The sequence below is a fragment of the Homo sapiens genome, chromosome 9, assembly GCF_000001405.40.
Source record: "Homo sapiens chromosome 9, GRCh38.p14 Primary Assembly".
Lineage (NCBI taxonomy): Eukaryota > Metazoa > Chordata > Mammalia > Primates > Hominidae > Homo > Homo sapiens.
Genome location: NC_000009.12, coordinates 115,756,701 through 115,780,276, shown reverse-complemented (window position 1 = coordinate 115,780,276; position 23,576 = coordinate 115,756,701). Strand labels below are relative to the sequence as shown.

The 23,576-nt window shown below is 37.5% G+C and overlaps 1 long non-coding RNA gene across 2 annotated transcripts in view; it reads right to left on the bottom strand.

Moving 5' to 3' along the window:
- LOC105376234 (uncharacterized) overlaps positions 1 to 23,576 on the bottom strand; it is an 83,492-nt gene that overhangs the window by 47,054 nt on the left and 12,862 nt on the right. Inside the window, exon 3 of one of the 2 annotated variants that reach the window (XR_930268.2) lies at positions 19,954 to 20,026. The exons of the other annotated variant lie outside the window; for it this stretch is intronic. This is a non-coding gene — a long non-coding RNA (uncharacterized LOC105376234). Of the gene's footprint in view, positions 1 to 19,953; positions 20,027 to 23,576 lie in introns of those variants that run through there. 2 annotated transcript variants of the gene reach the window in all.

The following is a 23,576-nucleotide window of genomic DNA, read 5'->3' as shown; positions in this document are numbered from 1 at the left end:
AACTATTTATTAATTGGGCAAAAGACTCAAAACTCTAAGAATCAGAACAGAGTCACACAGCCCTTCAGAAATCATCTGGTTAACAGATCCATTGTAATAGTGCAGACTTAGTACCCAGAGAGAAAAATAAGACTGGTCTAATATATCCCAACTAGTGCATACTTCCTTCTTATGTCTTTTCCCTAGCCCCAAATTTATGAAATTGGAATATTGTCAAAAAGAAGACAAGAATTTGATGCACAAATAGAAACTGATTTAAATACAGGTAACATAGCGTCTGTAGTCTCCAGACTTCTTCACTGAAAAAGAGTATGAAGTTAGGGCACGTTTCTATCACTGCATGAAAATGGCTAGCTCATTGCTCCTTCCTATACAGTTGCAAGACCTCAGCATGCCTCCCTCCTCAAAAATCTTCATGCAGTTTCTGGGTATCATAGGTTGAGTCTCCCCTACTTTAACTAGAGATTTGCATGGAGGTATTTATTGGGGAGTGTTTTCAAAGAACAGTTGTAAAGGCATGAGGTAGGCAACATGAACAGAAAGAGAAGTAAAAAGGCAACTTTGTAAGATATGAAGAAGAACTGGAACTCCATTCTCTGAAAGTGGTCAGAAATTGATAACAATCACCTCTCTTGATTGTGCACTCTATTTTTTCTTGTTTAAGCAAATGTTCACAACATAGGCTCAAATAAAGCCAACTAGAAAGATTCTGGGAACGAAGGTGCCAGGGCTAAATAAGCCATATTGAATAACATGGATTGAGCAATATGTTATAGGCCCTACATTCTTTCTCATTTATTTCTCACCACAGTTTTTTGAGGTTGATTTTACAATGGTTAAGAGATAAATACTTCTTATGAGTTAGGTAAGAAACAGTCACAAAGGCCATGCATTTTTCAAAAAGCTCATACATTTACCAAATGGAGTAGCTACAAAGTGAACCTAGATTTATCTAATTGTGTAAAATCTCATGGTTTTTTTTATTATACTTTAAGTTTTAGGGTACATGTGCACAACGTGCAGGTTTGTTACATATGTATACATGTGCCATGTTGGTGTGCTGCACATGCACACGTATATTTATTGTGGCACTATTCACAATAGCAAAGACTTGGAACCAACCCAAATGTCCAACAATGATAGACTGGATTAAGAAAATGTGGCACATATACACCATGGAATACTATGCAGCCATAAAAAATGATGAGTTCATGTCCTTTGTAGGGACATGGATGAAGCTGGAAACCATCATTCTCAGCAAACTATTACAAGCTCATGGTTTTAACTGGAATCCATTTCCAGAATGATGAGAGAAAATAAAATCAAATTAGATAAGAAGTAGTGAAAGAACCTGGGAATGTTTAACATGGAGAAGTTGAGGCTTATGACAGAGGGACAGAAATAATCAGCATTTTCAATTCTTGAAGGGCTATCATCTGTATAGAGGGAAGATTAGTATGGAAGAGGACCAGAATTGTAGCAAGGCAAGTGGCACTGAATATTAGGACTGGCATTTTGATTATTGGAATTGTTGAAAAATATAATGGGGATACCTATGGGAGCAATGATTACATAATTATTGAACCCTGGTATTCTTGTGTGGGAGACACAATGGTGAACATGTCACAATGATGTGCTCAGAAAACGTACAGTTTGATAGGGGAAATAGAGTCAGGTAAGTGTCCCATTATTGTAAAGCATCAAGCTGGACATTTACGTGATGACCCTGTTGATTGTGAAACCAAGTATCCAGTTGGAATGGTCAACCTTAACACTTTACAAACTATATTTTGCAAAATCCAAGTGTTTCCTAGCATGTCAATATGTGGCAAGAAGGAAAATTATTCTGCAGTCAAGTGAGTTTGGGAAACAAAGTCAAATGAGCATCTTTGTAAGATTTATCAGAGCTTTGAAAACAGGCATGGTGGCTCTTCAATAAACTTGTATAGTAGCCACTGATTCACAAACTTGACTGACCACGAAATCCCTTTTCCATGGACACTTATTAATATGAAATTAGGGGAAGTCTAGTGAGGTCATAATCTCAATTTCTCTATCATTCTGAAATTCTCTAATTCCTCAAGCACAAAATGAGTCAAGGAACTTAAAACGTAGCACTAATCTTGGAAACAAATTCACTGGCCCTTCTTAAATAATTTCCTTCTATATTCTGAGCCTCAGTTTAGTGTCACTAGCTGAAAAAAAAATTGCTGAAACTCTTTATCTCCAATATCTTGTGGTTTTATGGAGGCTTCAGGGCACCAAAGATGGGTTTTACCTACTTGACAGTTCTCCTGGGCCTGCCTTCTTCTAATGCTAGCAAGTGTCCAACCTGGTGGCTTTGAGCGAGTGCATATTGTTTCTGGTTCCTGTTCTGCTGGATAGCAGCTTGAAGACAGGAAGCCAAAAAGACCTCCCATTCTGGAGGTTTCCAAATTGGTTTTGCAGACCTCAGCAATTCAGAATGTTTGAAGACACTGCAGAGATGTGCAGTTCTGCGGTTGACCCCTCTCAAATAGTACATAATTCTGAAAAAACTTGGAGCTCCTCCATAAAGCCATATTTCAGTTGCACATTTTAGGCATGTGACTTCAGCCAAAAGCCATAATATAGCACTGCAGAGGATTTTTTCTTTCAAAAATATGCATTTGGACAAAACTTAGGAACCTAAAATTACAGGAATTGAATGTAACTTCTATGTTAACCAAAGTGCTACAGATCAAATAATAAATCACAGAAATGTAGAGTGTGATGTCCTCCTAGGGATTTGCCAGTTCAAAGTTTCAGATAAGACTTCAATCTTTCTTATATACCTGTGAAGTCATTACTTTCTTCCTTGCCCATGCTTTTGAATAGTTTGTTATTTTTCATTTTTATTTGATTTTTTAAAAGTTTTAATCAACTTTTATTTTAAGTTCCAGTGTACATGTGCAGGATGTGCAGGTTTGTTACATAGGTAAATATATACCATGGTAGTTTGATGCATAGATCAAACCATCACCCAAGTATTAAGCCCAGCACCCATTGGCTGTTCTTTCTGATGCTCTCCACAACCCTGCGTCCTCAATAGGCCCCAGTGTGTGTTGTTCCCCCACAATGTGTCCAAATGTTCTCATCATTCAGCTCTCACTTATAAGTGAAAACATACGGTGTTTGGTTTTCTGTTCCTGCATTAGTGTGCTGAGGAGGACAGCTTCCAGCTCCGTCCATGTCCCTGCAAAGGACATGATCTCATTCCTTTTTATGGCTGCATAGTATTCCATGATAATATATATATGTACCAAGTTTTCTTTATACAGTCTATTATTGATGGGCATGTGGAATAGCATGTTAATTCTCAGGCAGGCCAATCTGATATCATGCAACTCTTCTTATTTCAATGGCCTCTCTTTCTTATACATATATCTTCTATTATGTCCATCTGTATTTCTTGCTCAGTATTCTGAGGATGCAAAGGGAAAAAATTTATTCTCTCCTTTATAAACTGGTCTTGAGTTTTGAAGAAAAAAAAGCATCTCCCTCTATGATATTTTAATCTTTCAACATAAACATTCCCTGTTTCTTTATTGGAAGTAATCAGACCAACCAGAAGAAAGCATAGCTTTTGAATTTAGAAAGTGCCAGAGTTCTAAACTCTTCTCTTTCACCTGAACACTAATGACCTGGAATTCTCTACTTAGTGTTGGTGAGCCTCATCTTTCACATTTTAAGATAATGGAAATAATGACTACATAACAGGATTATTGTGAGAAATAAAGAAGGCAAGTATGAAGACTTCTCCATGGTAAGCAATCAGTACACTATACTCTCCACGTTCCCCACTGGCTTTTCTTCTTTCTTTATACTGATATGATATGATATGATATGATATGATATGATATGATATGATATGATATGAATTCATACCCATTTGTCATGCAATGTCCCTGCTTGTCTCCCAAGAAAACCCAGGGTCTGGAGGTAAACATAATTCTAGATAAATTGGCAAGCTGGCATCTTACCTCCTTGATTTAGGCCATTACATGTTTATTATTGCAAGTATTCTATAATACTAAAACATCTAATTTTTCTTTGGACATTATAATGCAGACCAAAGAAAGAAGACCTTGGATATTTTCAATACAATATTAATATCGGTGAGAGTGCATTTGAGGAAGTCAAAGCAGCCAGTGTACTCAGACAATAACTAATTTCCTTAAGGATTATTTTATTATGCACTCAGTGTTCTGAAATGCCAATATCTGCAGATGCAGTGTGATTACTTTGCCTTTTTCATTTCAATTATTCTTTAAGAAGAGTGATCATTTTTCATTATAGAGTAAAAACTTATATGTTCTGGACTAACTTAATAGAACAAAACAACAAAACATCTTCTCTCTGTGAAGTCTGACATCAGATTTAATCACGTTGGAGGAAATGCAGGTCACTGGACTGGAATGTGGGGGCCTGGGTCTGGTCCCAGCTCTGCACTGAATTGACATGTGGCTTTGCTAAGCCAAAGCTTGTCCTTCTGTGATCCTCAGTGTCTCTCATCCGATCATTAAGGATGAATTAGGTGATGACTATGGACTCTTTTTCACTCTTTATTCTAGTGTTACAACAGGAAAGAGCCTAATCAGGGAAGCTACACTCAATAGCCAATCTAAGGAGTTTCCCGTAAGAGGGGAGCAGAAAACACCCATTCAATCTTAAAAGATGTGCAGAAACTGAAGATTGAGTGTGGAAATTGAGGAGATGAACATTACCTCTTTTCTATCTGAGAGGGGAAAGCAACATGATCAAGATGTATGCAAATCAAGCTATTTACCAATAAAGAACCAGAATGTATGTCTCTTGCCTCCCAGGCCAATTTTCTTTCCATCCTATCTTTCTGTCCCCAGAAACTACTCAGATATGTCTCTGTTTCTTTTGTCTTACCTGTCTATAATTCTGTATCAATACTAAATAAGGATGTAGAAAATGTATGACATTCATAGCATGTCATCTTCAGATGTTATGCCAAAACAAAAATGTTGCCCTGAAATTTAGCTCTTGCATTAGATAAGTTTTACATTTGAAAGCACATTTCTCTCTCTTAAAAAATTATTCTGTGAAGTTATAAAAATTCTTTCCACAAAGTTTCCTAGGTTGTATGCTATAAACTGCACATCTATACTTTGAATTTCTCTTATAAAATCTATTTGATTAAAATATAGAAAAGCATGGTATCATAGAAAAAGTATAGAATCAAGAGGGATTCAGGGTATGACTTATTGATGCTGCATCTTAGAAGTTCTATGACCTTGAACAAATATTTCACCAGAATATGCCTCAGTTTTCTTATATAGAAAGGATATAAAACGCCTCAGTTTCTTTATATGAAAAGGATAAAGTGCCCATCTCATAGAGTTGTTGTTAAGACTTAAACAAGATGGGATATTAAAATCCCTTTCACAGTGCCAGGCATATGGGGGTCTTAATGAATTTACAATAAGTATTTTAAGTGAGAATTGACCCAAAGCAAAATTTTGTAAACACTACTCTCAATGCCCTTCAGTGAGGCTTATTTGAATGATTTTTAACCAAAGTTCCTAATTCCCAGAATGTATCTGAAAAAAGTCTTTCAGTGACTTGAATTTATATTTGGGCATGTGAACTATCACCAGCCTAAAAATCACGTTCATCCACTTTTCCTAATTTAAAGTTTTCTCATATAATATAGTTCAGTTGCACTCCAATTTTTCTATTTCCCTTTTTCACTCATAAAAAATAAATTTAAAAATATCTACACTTCGGCCGGGTGCAGTGGCTCATGCCTGTAATCCCAGCACTTTGTGAATCCGAGGCAGGTAGATCACCTGAGATCAGGAGTTTGAGACAAGCCTGGCCAACATGGTGAAACCCTGTCTCTACTAAAAATACAAAAATTAGCTGGGTGTGGTAGTGCATGCCTGTAATCCTAGCTACTGGGGAGGCTGAGGCAGGAGGATCACTTGAGCCCTGGAGGAGCAGGTTGCAGTGAGCCAAGACTGAGCCACTGCACTCCAGCCTGGGTGACAGAGTAAGACTCCATCTCAAAAAAAAAAAAAAAAAAAAAATCTCTACACTCTAACATATTTCATAAATCCACAAAATAGACATCTACAGAGAGATACAGTAAGGGGACAGAAATATCCAATTCACGTCACTTTCATCTTTGGACTAATGAAGCAGAGGAGAGAAAAATTTCTCTGATAGTCTTAAGTATAAGTGATTCAAAGCTATCTCAATACTTGAATATATTTCTGAGACAATCCAATTAAACAGACGGATGGTGCCTTTTCACTTTCGGAAACATTTGCACAATGTGGTGGGTTACTCAAAGCAAACCATTCACTGTTTCTTTCCTTTTAATACCAGAAAAGTTTACAGAGAGAGTGACAGGAATCACAGAACTCCACCTTTGTGTCAGGCCCCATGTCAGGCTCTTTATAATCCTTAGCACATGAAATGATCACACAGACTCAGTGAGTTAGATATTTGGTGCCCATTTTACAGATGAGAAAACTCAAGCCCAGAGAGAAAGTATTTTTTTTCAATTTTTCATAGCTTGAAATTCTAAATCTTTCTTAAATTTGAAATAGGTCTAGTAAGATTGTAACTCATATTTCTTGGTTTGCTTAGCTGGAATGCTATTCTTCAAGCTTTAAAGCCACAAAGGTCCATAATTTAAAGATTAATTTTCTTTTCATTTTGCCATGTTTTCTCACAATCCACCATTTCCACTTTTCTTGTCATGCTATTGCTAACTCTTAAACCTTCTTCAAGGGTTTAATGAAATGCCACCTTCTCAACAAAGCACACATTGTCCACCACATTGAAACTTGCAACACCTGTGCCTTCTTGCAGAGACCACTTACCTTGGTCTACATTGTCTTGTTTTTCCAGAACGTGTTTTAATGTCTAACAAGCTGAATGATCTACTTATTTATTATGTTTGCTGTTCCTTGTATCTTCCTCTAGAATATCAGCAATAAAAAAGCAGGGACTCATGCCTACTTTTGTTTACCAGTGTATTCTAATCATCTATAATAATGCCAGGCACATCTAAAGAGCTGAGTAATATTTGTTGTACAAATTACTAATTGAGCATGTCATTCCCTCTATTGTTATTAAATGTAGCTTCAGAATCCTTCTCAACACAGCCTTATGTTTAGCCACTACCACTAGATCTGAATGGATATTTTAATTACAACTCAAATACTATGCACCTGTTTCCTTATTGTAAATTTAAATGGAGTTGTTGTCATCTACTATACGGCTGTCAGAAGGAGTGAGTGAGTCAATATATGTAAAGTGCTTAGCACAATGCATGGTCTTTAGTAGGTACTCAATAATTATTTCTAACTATTATTTGATGACTTTTATTTATCTGGCTTATAGTACGTTGTTTTTTTGTTTGTTTGTTTGTTTTTGAGACAGAGTTTTGCTCTTGTTGCCCAGGCTGGAGTAAAATGGCGCAATCCCGGCTCACTGCAACCTTCACCTCCCATGTTCAAGTGATTCTCCTCACTCAGCCTCCTGAGTAGCTGGGACTACAGGAGCATGCCACCACACCCAGATAATTTTTATATATTTTTTTTTAGTAGAGACAGGGTTTCACCATGTTGGCCAGGCTGGTCTAGAACTCCTGACCTCAGGTGATCCACCCGTCTCAGCCTCCCAAAGTGCTGGGGTTACAAGCGTGAGCCAATGCACCTGGTCTATAGTACATGTTTCTAAACAGTTCTAGTGAAAGAATATATAAAAATCTATCTTATTAATAGAATCACCTTGATTTTCCCCATATTCTGATGTGAAAATTTAATACTAGCTCATTAAAGAAAGAAGCCTTTCTCATTCCTTCAAAGCAGAATCATTTGTTAACTCATTTTATTCCCATAGTACCTAGTACATGCAACTCTTTATATCTCATCTCACAATCATGCATTTATTAGCTACTTTATCCATGAGACAATGAATTTTTCCATGACAGGGTCACTGTCTTGTTACTTTCTCTGTTCCCATTTCCTCAGATGGTGTCTGGCACATGGTATAAACTTAGTACATGTTTGTTATATTACTAATATCATGATAGCATTTAGGTGCAGGAGGTATGCTTGAAAATTACCAAGTTCCATCCCTATAGTACAGATGGGGATACTGAGGCTCAGAGAAGAGAAAGGAATCACTGAAATAATGCATCTCTATAGTACAGATGGGGATGCCGAGGCTCATGGACTGGAAATGAATCACTGAAAGCATACAGTTATTGTCTAAGTTAGGCCTATAACCCAATTTTATAAAATATAAATCCTTGCTGATTTAAACTGTCTGCTTTTCAATTAAGTGTGTCTTAACATAATTCATTTACTTTTTTCTCCTTTAATTTCATGGTTAACATTGAAGATGCAACTCTGTTAAAAGTCAAGTTTACATGACCATTTTCTTTTGGAAGAAAATTCTGGCTGGCTAATTCTACATGAAGTAGAATTATCAGAGTAAATAGTGCACAAGTTTGACAATGTATAATATCTAGTCAGTGACTGAAATGAAATTGGGAAAGCTGAGTTACTAAGTCTGTCCTAGAATCAAAGAACCTAGGTTGGCTATCTGTACTTAAGAGGAAAGACACTCTATTATGTTTGAATCTGTTCCTCTCCCAAAGTATGGCTGGGGTCTTTCATGTACTTGACTGTCATTAAACATTTGTTGCATTTACCTGCATCTAGTCCAAGTGCTCATTAAGTATGGGAATCTCTACCCCTTATTTAACTTACCAGTCTTATCCTAACCTCAGATTGCATGTGTCCAGTAACAGAGCATTGACTACCTCTGAAGAGTCACTGTGGGACTATTAGCTGCAATGAATTGAACTGAGAAATGTCTCATGGTAACTTTGATCTACTGGCCAGAGTTCTCTTGTCTGGACCACAAAGCACATCAAATCTTTCCCCCCACAGCAGATGAGATGATATTTGGAAAGAGTAACCACTGCCTCCACCTCACCCCACGCACAAACCTAACCAAGTCATCTCTCCTCCAGGGAAAATGTCCCTCTGGCTCAAGCTATTTTAAATGAATAGTAAGCCAAAAATTTCTAGTCCCTTTCTTTTCTTTGATGGCATAATTGCTTTGATTTACCATGAAAGATTGTTTTTGGACTTTCAAAATGAAAGGGTGAGTTGACCAGTAACAAACATATCATTCAATGGTGTCTTTCAGACACAGTCTCATTCCATATTATTTAAGTGGTGTGTGGGAAAGGAAACGGAAATAGCATTTATGGAATACCTACTCTGCTTTGGTCACATTACATTGATTACATTCTGGGATCTTCACAACACTTTTAAGTACATATTATTATTATACTCTATTTCATAGGTGAGAAAACTGAGACTCGGTGGTTTTAAGTAACTTGCTCTAAGCCAAACTAGAGCTGGAAATTGAACTCAGGTCTACTAAATTCCTTAGGCTATTCTGGCACTTTGTCTAGTGGTCTCCTGTCTCAGGGTGCACAACTGTGGTCAAATCTCCACTTCTTTAACATGCCTATGAATACCTCCCACAAACCATAAACAATGTGGTCTTCCAGTAAATCTTCCATAAACTTACTAGAAAGGCCACAAGTGTCCAGTGGAATGATGCATCTTGCCCAGGGATCTGTATATCAACATGGCCTTAAAGGACAGACCAATGCGACCACTGATATTCCATGTAAGATCAAAGAAAAATCCCAAAACTGAATGCCTTAGTTAACATTTTAAACTGATTCCCCTGGTGAAATTTTCCCTGTGAATAAATGACACAGTCAGAGTCCTATCATTCGCACCTTTGGCTACATTTCCTCTACACATCTGAACTCTCACTGACACTCGGTCTACAAAAGGCTTCTCATGCTTGCACTCTTCAGCTCTATTGTAATTGTCTTTATTAAGTGCACCCTCTTCATTCATTTGTCCTCATTATTTTACTTCCTCCTACTTGGTCAATCTTGCTGCAGCTATATTTACTCCAGTTTATCCTCCAAAGTGTATCAAGAGAGACATTTCTGAATGATATCTGATCAGGTTACCTCCTTGGTCAATAGGTCTTCAGTACTATTAGAGGTAACAGACATCTTATTTTCATTTACAGGAGACACCACTAAAGTAACACTGCCTCTTGTTTCTTAGCCTAATTTTACTCTCTCCTTCCCATAGAGGAGGAGTGAGTAAACCAATTGCTAGGTGACAAAGTTTGGGCTACATTTCTTAATTGGGTAGAGTTAATCTATTGAAAGGCCATAAACACAAAGAATTTTTTATTTCTCCCCTCTCTGCTAGGGATATAGCACACTGTGACTTAGTCCATCATGAGGTAAGAAAGTGTACTTTTCAGTCTTTAATACATCTTGAATTAATTTTTGTATAAGGTGTAAGGAAGGGATCCAGTTTCAGCTTTCTACATATGGCTAGCCAGTTTTCCCAGCACCATTTATTAAATAGGGAATCCTTTCCCCATTGCTTGTTTTTCTCAGGTTTGTCAAAGATCAGATAGTTGTAGATATGTGGCGTTATTTCTGAGGGCTCTGTTCTGTTCCATTGATCTATATCTCTGTTTTGGTACCAGTACCATGCTGTTTTGGTTACTGTAGCCTTGTAGTATAGTTTGAAGTCAGGTAGCGTGATGCCTCCAGCTTTGTTCTTTTGGCTTAGGATTGACTTGGCGATGCGGGCTCTTTTTTGGTTCCATATGAACTTTAAAGTAGTTTTTTCCAATTCTGTGAAGAAAGTCATTGGTAGCTTGATGGGGATGGCATTGAATCTATAAATTACCTTGGGCAGTATGGCCATTTTCACAATATTGATTCTTCCTACCCATGAGCATGGAATGTTCTTCCATTTGTTTGTATCCTCTTTTATTTCATTGAGCAGTGGTTTGTAGTTCTCCTTGAAGAGGTCCTTCACATCCCTTGTAAGTTGGATTCCTAGGTATTTTATTCTCTTTGAAGCAATTGTGAATGGGAGTTCACTCATGATTTGGCTCTCTGTTTGTCTGTTATTGGTGTATAAGAATGCTTGTGATTATAAAAACCCTAGAAGAAAACCTAGGCATTACCATTCAGGACATAGGCATGGGCAAGGACTTCATGTCTAAAACACCAAAAGCAATGGCAACAAAAGACAAAATTGACAAATGGGATCTAATTAAACTAAAGAGCTTCTGCACAGCAAAAGAAACTACCATCAGAGTGAATAGGCAACCTAAAAAATGGGAGAAAATTTTCACAACCTACTCATCTGACAAAGGGCTAATATCCAGAATCTACAATGAACTCAAACAAATTTACAAGAAAAAAACAAACAACCCCATCAAAAAGTGGGTGAAGGACATAAACAGACACTTCTCAAAAGAAGACATTTATGCAGCCAAAAAACACATGAAAAAATGCTCACCATCACTGGCTATCAGAGAAATGCAAATCAAAACCACAATGAGATACCATCTCACACCAGTTAGAATGGTGATCATTAAAAAGTCAGGAAACAACAGGTGCTGGAGAGGATGTGGAGAAATAGGAATGCTTTTACACTGTTGGTGGGACTGTAAACTAGTTCAACCATTGTGGAAGTCAGTGTGGCAATTCCTCAGGGATCTAGAACTAGAAATATCATTTGACCCAGCCATCCCATTACTGGGTATATACCCAAAGGACTATAAATTATGCTGCTATAAAGATACATGCACACGTATGTTTATTATGGCACTATTCACAATAGCAAAGACTTGGAACCAACCCAAATGTCCAACAATGATAGACTGGATTAAGAAAATGTGGCACATATACACCATGGAATACTATGCAGCCACAAAAAATGATGAGTTCATGTCCTTTGTAGGGACATGGATGGAATTGGAAATCATCATTCTCAGTAAACTATCACAAGAACAAAAAACCAAACACCGTATATTCTCACTTCTAGGTGGGAACTGAACAATGAGAACACATGGACCCAGGAAGGGGAACATCACACTCTGGGGACTGTTGTGGGGTAGGGGGAGGGGGGAGGGATAGCTTTAGGAGATATACCTAATGCTAAGTGACGAGTGAATGGGTGCAGCACACCAGCATGGCACATGTATACATATGTAACTAACCTCCACATTGTGCACATGTACCCTAAAACTTAAAGTATAATAATAATAATAAAATAAAAAATAAATAAATAAATAAATAAATGCATACTAAATTATAATTATCATAAGAAAAAAAAAAGAAAGTGTACTTTTCAGACTAGAGTTTTCTCCTATCCTGTGAGTAGAGGTAAATGGGTTTTGTTGGAGTAACAAGAGAGCCCCCAAATCTCAGTGACTTAAAACATTAAGTGTAAATTTCTCACTTATGCTGTATGTTGGTGAGAGTCAGTCATAGTACAGCTTTATATCATTTTTACCCTAGGCCACAGGCTGATGTGTTAGCTTCTATCTGGACCATTGTTGGTCATCAGGGCAGAGAGGAGGAAAAAGCAGATACACTGAGCCTCTTACTGGCTCTAAAAGCTCCTGCTTATACACTTGTCACTTCTGCCTACATCCCACTGCACAAAAAAGTCATTTGACCATACCTGAGTTTTAAACTGTGGGCTGGCATATCCCATCACAAGTAGGGGTATTGCAAGGAGGGGCATCAAACATGAGTGAACATATTACCACACCTGGAACTCTCCCCAGTCTAGACCGGAGAGTGAAAGAGGGAGCATTAGCAAGCCCATTTAGTCTTCTGCCAAATGATCTGACCTAGGATTTATTTATTAAAAAGAAAAATCTGACATTTTAAGTTGACACGCACAAAGTGGAAGTGATTTGTTTTACTCTGCAAAGCTTGTGAGCCTTAGAGCAAGGACTAGAAGCTCACATTCTTTCCACTAAATCAGATTGCTTCTCAAGCTTCATTGCCTATGCCTGGCACAAAGTAGGTGTCCAGTACACGCTTGTAGAATTGAATCAAATTTATATATGACCCACTGGTCAATCTCACACTGAAATGCATTTTCTCAGTTCTATAAACACAGCTCCCACCTGTGTTCTATACTCCAGGAAATTCTGCCACACTCTTAACACAGAGCCTCCACAGTAAGTAAATCCCATACCCTCACCTAGTCTGCCTAGAAACACACTTTGGTTCCTATATTGGTGTCATATCAACAGACTCCCAAAACAATAAGTGAAAAACAGACAACTGTCTTAGCAACAGGAAAAGCCTCCACGTGCCACCCCTAATTCTCGGTTTAATATTAATCTATTTTTCTATTTCTAGGCCAACAATCATCTCCCTCAAGCCTCAAACCTTTTCCACTCTGGAGGAAAGACTAGGTATTTCTCAAATTCATTTAATGTGTTTTTCCTTCTCTTCAGTCATCTTCCCTGGTAACGTCTTCCATATGTCTGTGGGCCATTGTGTTAAAGAGTTCTGCCCAAAGTCCTTATTTATTCGGAGTGGATTGGAATGGCAGCCTTAAGTCTGGTATTTCCTCACGTTTGACAGCTTGAATTACAGACTTTGGGTACATTTAACGTAATCCATTCATGTGGAATGGCTGTTGTTCCTCTCATAGTAGTTTAAAAATATAAATATTTACAAACCCCTAAGACAAAAGCTCTTACTGACAAGGTCTCTAAAGCAACAGCTTCATGGACAGGAACATTTCCACTTAGATATTTCCACTGACAGTTTCAATTCTCCTGGGTCATGTGTACTCCATTTAATGCTAATGGAATCTTTGCAAAATCATTGAAACTTATCTCTCTATATATCCAAATAGGGAAGGGAACGGGGCAGGAGTAAGGGAGAGATTTTCTTAGCAGAATACAGTCAGCTCCTTTAAGGCAAGCCAGCAATGAAGTTCCTGGAACTGTAGGGAATGTCTGAACCCATGGGAATTCCTACTACTTGAGTGCCGTCTCTGTTCCATTACTATGATAAACACTTGATACCTCACACTCTTTTATTTGTATACAAATAAAGCTTTGAGAGATAAATGGACTCATCCAATGTCAAATAGGTAGCAAGCGGAAATTCAAGGGTTTGATCACAGACCTTATGCTTTCACAGAGGACTAGATGGACTAGGAGAATATTATAATTAAGTTGTTTAAATACAGAGATACCAGATAATGCTGCAAGAATCTAAGCTTTTGAAATATTTTCTCTCACCCACATATAACCTACAACAGCTACATTAGATTGCCTCTATTCATGTCAATTTCCTTCACTTTATCAACATCTAACTCTCTCTGTTCTTCTCTTTAATGAGCTCTCAATCTATATTAGTTGGGATTGGTTTCTGTTGTATACAAGGGAAATAAATAACAATGCTTTAAAAGAAGATAGATGATCAGCTGTCTTCATTATGAAGCACACTGTGGGATGGAGGTATGAATTTAGTATGATGAGTCTGTTTAGATCAGTGACATAGGAGGTTTTACTTCTCTATTCCATCATTCCTGGGGTATGTACCTCAACCTCATGGACCAAAATGGCTGCACAGTGGCAACCTTTAAAACACTGTTCCAAGCATCAGAAAGAAAAAATAGGTTAGGATGGGTACACAGCTTCTCTTTTAGGGATAAGTACCCCATATACACTACATCAGGTTATATCTCTTTTGCCAGAACATCGTGGCATGATAACACTTAGTTACAGAAAAAGAAAGAGGATGGCAAAAATGAGCTTATAGGTGGGTGATAATGTGCTCAGCTGCAAAGTGTAGCTCAACATTACTGAGAAGAGGACTGTGAAAACTGGTCCAGTTCATTGACACTGGGAACAAAAACAGACATTCTAACTATTGCTCTAAAATGTCTGTCTTTGCTAAAAAGAATCTGAGCAGGATGAATATTGGGAATCAACCAGAAATCTTCAGGTCACTGGGATTTCAAATCCCAGCTTAAATGCCAGCATGAGGTGGTAGAAAGTGTGCTGGCTGTGGCATCAAACTGACCTGGATTCAATCCCATTTCTCTCTAAACAGATAGTTTAGAGAGGGACCCAGAGAACCAAAAGTTCAGAACACAAGATCACAACTAAGTGAGAGTGCTAGAGCAAAGGCCATGTCAGTCTGTGGCCCACTCTAGGCCCGACATGTTAACTGTAGGCAGAGAAAGTTGAGGAACCTACAGATAAGCCCTCCATCTAGGAAATGAAGGGAGATAAAAAAGCGGGGTTAGTAAAGAAAATGAAAAGGCTTTGTATTTTGAAAGTGTTCATATAAAAACAGCATGTAGAAGGTGTCCCAGCTGTAGACACAAACAGGATGCCCACCCTCTAGGTATGGAGCCCAAGGCTAATGACAAAGAGATCAGAGCCCTGGCAAGAGAAGGTCCTTAGGGGCTCCAGACAGGAGGGGGCAGAATAAAAATAATCAAGGAACCAGAGTTTGGCCAAATCCTGGGAAATCTGTGGTCAGTGATACATTAACCAGCCTTGGCCTTGCAAAGTTTTAATTGGCGTCATTTCTTATGAATGTGGCCAAGAAAACTGTAAAAAGAATAGAAAGGGACAAAAACAGAGAAAAACAAAGTCATTCATTGGGGGCCCAGTAGATTCCAAGACCAGAGATGACAGAATGAAAGCCTATGGAATTTTAACCCTTTATCTACTGATAATATCCATGTCAGTTAGTATAATGAGTTGTGCTTGGATGCTGGAATCAGAATTGGATTTATATCGTAGCCCAATGACTTTCTAACTACAGAACCTTGGGAAATTTTGTCATGTCTCTGATCCTCCCTTTTGGAAAATTTAAAAAAGAATACCTGTCTCACAGAGTGCTTATATAAATTAAAGGAGATGAGAGATTTGGAATATCATTGCAAGCTACAACATAAGCCAATGTGAGCATCTAATGCAGAGGAGTTTCATAATAGCAGGCCTTCTAATTCTCATGATTCTGAATTCAATTGCTTTCTATAGCTTGTTCTCATTTTAACCTGGCCAATTTCTTTTTTGCATTTTGGTGGTTCTATAATAGAACATTTTATTTAGCTAGTGTAGTCAAACCACTATGCTACATTGCTTAACATCTTGCCTGTTGAACAATATATACGGGGATGGGGCTGTGTAAGTTGATTGAGGTGGCAGCCAGTGATACAAAAACTGGAAATTCTAATATTCTACATTTTCTGTCTTAGAGAAAAGAGAATTTTAGAAGAATCTACAAACTTGGCCATAAAAAAACAACAGAATATTTCTACATATATGGCTGTGAAACTTACCAATAATAAAGAATGAGAACTCAAACTCCCTAATCCTGATTAAAATTTGAGTTTGAAATGAATAAGCATGGCATGCATTAGGGGAACATAATAATGTGTTAATGATTTTAAGACAACAATCTGGTCATGAATGTAGTTTAAAAATATAAAGTATAGTAAACTTCAAAATGAAATTACAGATTATGTTTTTTAAACTAATATTCAATTGAGTCAATATAACAAGAGTTCATATAAAGTTCTTCCAGCAGTTTCCTTAAAAGTAACATGGGTTTAAAACACACCTAGTGATCAGTAATTTGTCTATTTGACCTCTTGTATGCTACTCAAATCTAGCTCAGAAGGAGGAAGGTGAGAATTTAATTTGAAGAAAACACAAAATGGAAAATTTTGAAATGAAGAGAGTGGGTATATAAGGAAAATATCACAGTACATAAACTGAAAGATAAAAAGAATGTTGGAGTTAAGTTTTAAGTCTAAATACTGTGACCAAAGAGCTGAGTGAACTTGAGAAAGTTCTATATAGTCTGTAAGAGCTATGGTTTGAATATTTTTGTGCCTTCCAAAACTCATGTTGAAATTAATCCCCAATGAAGCAGTTTTGGGAGATGTGGCCTCATGGAAGATGTATAGGTCATAAATGCTCTTTCCTCATGTATTAGTCTATTTTCATACTGCTATGAAGGAATACCTAAGACTGTGAAATCTATTTAAAAGAAAAAAAAGAGGTTTAATGGACTCACAGTTCCACATGTCTGGGGAGGCCTCACAATCATGGTGAAAGGCCAGAGTGGAGCAAAGTCACATCTTACATGGCAGCAGGCAAGAGAGCTTGTGCGGGGAAGTGCCTTTTATAAAATCATCAAATCTCATGAGACTTATTCACTATCATGAGAACAGCATGGGAAAAACCCACCCCCATAATTCAGTTACCTCCCACCAGGTCCCTTCCATGACACATGGGATTCTGCAAGCTACAATTCAAGATGAGATTTGGGTGGGGACACAGCCAAACCATACCACCTCATGAAGGGATTAATGCCACTGTAAAAACGCTTGCAGGAATGGCTTTACTCTCTCGCTCTCTTCGGCCATGTGAAGACACAGGATTGATCTCCCTCTTCCCCTTCTGCCTTCTACCATGTGAGGACACAGCAACAAGGCCTTCATCAGATATGGATGCCTTGATCTTAGACTTGCCAGCCTCCAGAACTGTGAGAAAATACATTTCTGTTCTTCATAAATCGCCCAGTCTGCGGTATTCTGTTATTGTAGCACAAAACAAAAAGAGTCTTAGTTTTCTCATCTGATAAAATGATATTCCCAGTACCCAGCTCTCAGTGCTACTAGGAAAAGGAAGAGTAACAGGTTCTGTAAAAATCAGACTGCCCCCCTCTGATTCTCTGCTTTCACATATTTTGCCTGTGTGACCTTAGGTAAATTCCTCATATTTTTGTGCCTCAACTTTTTTATCTAGAAAATGATAATATTGGTACTTACATTATTTGAATGGGTGAGTATGAATACTTAGTACCTTATAAATATTAAGAGCTAAATAAATGATAAATACTAATGTCTATTACACAGCCCCTGAAGCATAGTAACAGCACAATAAATTGTAAATATTATTTTATTTATTCAGGAATATTTTCCTTTTATGGTCTACCATAAAATGGAAATGTTAAACCCATTTCATTGATGAAAAGGCTAAGGTTTAGCAGCTGGGATATGGTGGAATCCCACAAATACCTGGGCCCATAACTCAGGCTTTCTAAAATTCCAAAATAAGGTATCATTCCATATAAAGTATTCCAGAAGTCAAGCAGCACCTCTGGTTTCTCAGAGAACATGCTATTTCCATTAGAGCCTTCTCACCCCAAATTTCAATCTCCAAATTGAAAAAGAAAGTTACTGCTATAAACTGACAGTTTGGAATTTATTCCACTTGTCCAAGTTCTTAAATTTCATATATATGTATATGGAAGTTAAATATATTTTCTTGAATGTGATTTATGAGGACTTTCTGACAAAGTTCAAGAGGATCACTCATAATATACTCCTGGACTGCATGCTATAATCTAAACACTGGTAGAAAAGTTTGGGAAAGCAATTCCCCAAACAGTTTCATTGTCATTGAAATCACAGTATCTTGTACTTGAAGCATTGGCCCTAAAGATTCAACTTGCCTTAGAATTGAAATTGACTCAAGTTATTATAAGTTTGTGGCTTATCTGGTTTATATTAAATACCTAAAGAGAAATGAATACATCTATGGAGTCAGTGGGAGAGAGAAAAACAGTGTCAGGCTCCAAGCCCAAGGGAGGTAGTTCTTCTCAAGGAAAGACATAAGTAGAATTACTTCCTTTCCTCTTCTGGGAGACAAAGAGAGAAGTCGAATGACTAGGCATGGAATGAGAACAAAATAAGACTAATCGCAAATTAAAAGACTGGCTGACTTTCATGGACTCTGTTTTGGACTATCCTGACTTAATGGTGTTCTGCATTGTGCACTACCATAAGGATTACTTTCCAGATTATGGCACTCTGGGAGACACAAATATCAGTAGATCTCTTATTGCCAACAAAGTTTAATGTACTTTTCAAGGATTCTGTATCAAGATGCTTTGAATGGCAAGTAATAGCAAATACTAGTCAAATTGACTTAAAACATAATGGGGATTTATTGGCTCATGGAACTTAAAAGTCCAGAAATAGCAATACTCTCATGTAAGCTTTAATCCACTGGCTCAAAAGAAAATGTTGTCAGGACTCAGTTCTTCTCCTTTTTAATTTTTAGCCTTGCTTACTCAGTGCCAGATTATTTTTATTATTTACTTTTCCTCTGGTCCTAGAACTTCAGATTTCCATGTCTACATCCAGCAAGAGAAAGAGAGTAATATCCTATAGTATGCATTGAAGATAAAGAGGTTGGCTTGCTCAAAACCCATAGAAGAGTATCTTCTTTTACCCCCCACCAGCTAATATCTCTGGATTAATCCTTTTGAATATGAGAATGGGATACAAGGATAAATTCAATCTAATCAGGACCCCCTTCTATAGAACTGATAGTGGAGCTAATCCCATCAAATCTTTCAGGCTCAGAATTGTGGAGGTTGGTGGATTAGATACGGAAGAAGCAACCAACAAGTTTTTCTAACTTCTGGACTCAACCAATTTTTTTTCATCCTTACCTTCTACTTCAGATTTTACTTTCCATGCTTAGTGAACTACTTCTAGTTTGACAAGCACATACTTGATCTTCCAGCCTCTGTTCCAGTCTACTTTCCTCCTGAAATATCTTTCTTTCCATGTTGTTGAAATCATATCCATAATTTAAGGCCCAGTTCAAACAGATCCTCTTCCATAAAGCTCTTCATATTATTCTCATCTAAAGGTTCTCTCTCCATCATCTTATTTCTGATAACAATTTAAATGCCCTTTATTCCTGGGACTGACAGCTTCCAACCTTGTATTCCCAGATACTACAAGTTCTCTGAGAAAGAAGAATGCACCTCCCTTGTTATTACTTCCCCTTAGAGTGCCAAGTACCTGCCCAACATATTATAGGCAATTCAGCCAATGAGTTTTCGAGGTCATTGTCCCAGTGAAACACAGTGAGTATATTTCTATTAACATCAAAAACCCCATTTCTGCCTCTTAGAGAAGGTCTGAGGGCTAAGGGTTCTGAGAGTTTAACTCATACCTATCCAGCAGTGGGCTTATTTGGTAGCCAATTCTTCCCCTTTCCAAGTGAGTTAATGCAGTGAGCTGGTTAGCTGAGGCAGAGAAGGAAACAAATGAATAAAAAATAGGGGATTAGCAAGTATTTATGTTTTACTTTTCAAAATCAGCCTTAATACAATAGCCTTGGTCCATAAACCAATGATTCATGGATTAGAAAAAACAATACTTTGTTTTTCACTCCCTTCTTTCTTATAATACCACTCCATTTAGATCACATGTACCTGAGAAGGAGGGAAAAAGGTATTCCCTAATTTTGGAAATGAATACTTTATAAAATGAGGGACTGTCTGTTGTGTTGCAGTGTGGGATAAGTAGGGGAAGTGGTTGTGGACAAACCACAGAGAGCCTTGAATACCCAGCCAAGTGTCAGGATCCTTAGACAGGAGGAAAAACAGGGCCATTGAAAAGCTTAAGCAAATAAATGATCTGAACACATTTTTGTTCACTTTGTTGAGAGTCCTATCCATTTTTTTTTTTACTACAGGAAAAAGAATTACTTTTTGCTTTCAAATTTTGCTATTCTTGTCTTTGACTACATCATTCACAGATATTTCAAGTTTAGCACATTTAAAATAAAACTAGATTTTCCTCCCGAAACTTGGCACTACCTCATTATCTTCCTCTTAGTAAATGGCTCCATCATCCGTCCTGTTTCTCAAATAAAAATCTGGGAATCATCCCTAAAATTCTTCCGTCTTTGGCTCTATGCACTGATCCATAAACAAGCCCTGTAAATTGTCTTCATGCCTATCATTGGATTCATCCATCTCTCTCTCTCTCACTGATTGCCACGAACTTAGCCCAGCAGCTCCTGGATGGTGATGACAGTAATTCAAAGGTGATTTCTACTCCACTGTTGCTTACCTTAATCGTTCTTCACATGAGGCAATAACCCAGCTCCCAACTCCTCCCATGGTAATTCTTTCCACTCTTTTCCTCTTCTAGCCACCTCCTTAAACTTGTCTAGTTTATGCCACCCTCAAAGCCTTTGCCAATGCCATTCTGTTTACTTAAAATATTCCTTCTTCAGCCTCTTCATGAGGTTGCACTTTCTTACCTTTGAGGTCCCTACTAAAATATCATCTCAGAATGGCTTTCCATTACTACCCTATCTAAATCGTGGTCCCCTATAATTCCCTCTTTTATCTCCTGTTCACAGAACACTTTTATGTGTGCACTTCTTTGCTGTCTTTATTGTTACTTTTGTGTATGTGTGTGTTTCTCCTGTTAGAATATCAATTTTCCAAGAAAGGTTTGTGTCAGCTTTGTTCACCAATTTATTGCAGTCTCTAGCACTGTCACATTGTCAGGGATGGATTAAACACCCACAGAATGGAAGGAATGTCTGTTAATTTCTGCCTATCTATTGAATTTCAGAGGATGTTTGTTGAGTCTCCCCCTGAATATGAAATACAGCTCCCCCTGAATATAAAACAATGGGGTAATTTAACCTCTTTTACTATCTAAATACTACTATTATTTAAAAAAAGAATTCTTAAGAATTTGTGGGATTTAAAGTTTCCTCACCACCAGGAAATGTCCTTGATGGAATTGACGAATGCACTTGAGGCATATCTTGAGAAACAGAAGGTTGGAATTTGTGAAAAATGACAATCTGTGTCCTTATATGGCAAACCAGACTTTGCCAAACAACAATTCTGAAATCCGCAGAGTCTTTGTGGATTTGACAATCTTTGTGGTCTGTGATATGCCACTGCGATTCACCCAGTGACACTGGGGATGAATGCACAAGCTTCCAGCTTCTTCTCTAGGTTCTCCTACCTTAATCCTTTTCCTTAAGTAGAGGTTTGCCAAGGTCTAATCCTATATTTCTCTTGTGTCTATTCTAATTCTATGATCTATTTCCATTAGAAAATTGTCCCATCTCATCTTTCCAGCTATCAACTTTCTACTGACAAATCTTAAATAAAAGTTTCTAATCTCAGTCTCACCCTCTAATTGGCTCTGTTTTCCCATCAGTCTTCATCATGGGTTCCTAACGTTGCTCTGAAGTCTGGATTTGAATTGGAGCCTGAAAAATCTCAACTCATTGTCCTTGCTTCTAAACCTCAGCTCTACAATTTCCTATTTTCTCTCATCAACATTTTTTTTGTTCATGGCTTTTTATTTTTACCTGATTAAGCCCTTCCTATGAATATATAAAAACACAGAAGTGTGAAATATTTCCTAGTTTCAGTTTACATCATTGTAAAGATTGTGGATCGCACGATTTTAGAGGGTGCCATTTATACTGCAATCTTTGTGAATGGTGCCCTCTGGAGTTGTATCTAAAAATGTCTCTGACCTTTTCTTATTTTTTCCATCTTCAGTACCAAATGCAAGCCACTGTACATTGTGGACACCAAGTAGATGCTGTTGACAGACTAATTTGGCCAAAAGTCAGGACCAAAACTTGTTAGAGAATGTCAAATGCCCATCCTAAATCTTATTCACTGGTTTCTGTGAACCACTTGCCATGTTTCCCATCTCATGTAGTTTGCTCCATTCTGAAAAGAATGTGTTTATATTACGTATTGTCAATTTATCTTTTACTTCCTTGTATAATCCTCCTATCGTGGAGGCACAAAGCTCAACAAAGACATGTGAGGCTAAATAGCAGTTATTTCCTGGTGGCTCTGCCCAGAGATTGGTCATGGTGGTTACTCAATCAGAAAATTGGGACATGAATTTTCTCTGCTGAGCACTTAGATAATATATTTACAGTAGTGATTGGCAGAGGGCTCTTAATCAGAATCCCTCAATGAGGAAACTAAGAAACAATCTCCAGGTCCTTTTGCCTAGCCCAGGACTTGGCATTAGGCAAGGACACTCCAAACATATGCTGAATGAGTGAGGTTGGAATTAACCTTCAAAATAGTATAAATGTCCTTGGGTAATTATCCCAAATCTAATGTGATTCGGTTAAAAAGATCTGGCAGGAAGACTAATCAGATAAATTACAATGGATAAGTCCCAACATTTTAAAGGGTTTCCATTTATACCCACATAGATCTTACAAACTTAGATTTGTGTCTTTTCATGACTGAGATTTTATGAATCGATATATGAATCGATACCACAAACATCTCAGAGGACCTGCAATGAAAATGTCATATCTGTTTGAACACTCGCTGTAACCAATTTTTGAGATACTTTGCATATTTATAAAATGTATTCTCAATAAGTGCACATTAACACATTATTAAGATAATGAAAACAGAGAGTATTTCTTTAATTTTTATTCTTTACATCTGTTAGTGTTCTTGGCAAAGATTCTGGCATATGATGGACATTCAATAACTCCAGGAGTTATTGAATGAATCAATGTGGAAAATATGTATTTCTCATTGCCAGTTGGAGCTCTTTGAAGCATTGCTGTAGCCCTCACAGAGCCTAGAATAGCCCTTGAGCCACTGCAGCTTTTCTGGCTATATTTGCAAGAAGGGAAGATATGGATATAATGGAAACCTAATAGGTAACAGTTACTGCAATTGAGTATTACATTAAATTAAGCTCTGAGCTTCCTAGAGGTCAAATAAGAAGGAACTGCACAATGGATTAAGTGGACCTTGTCTGCTAAAA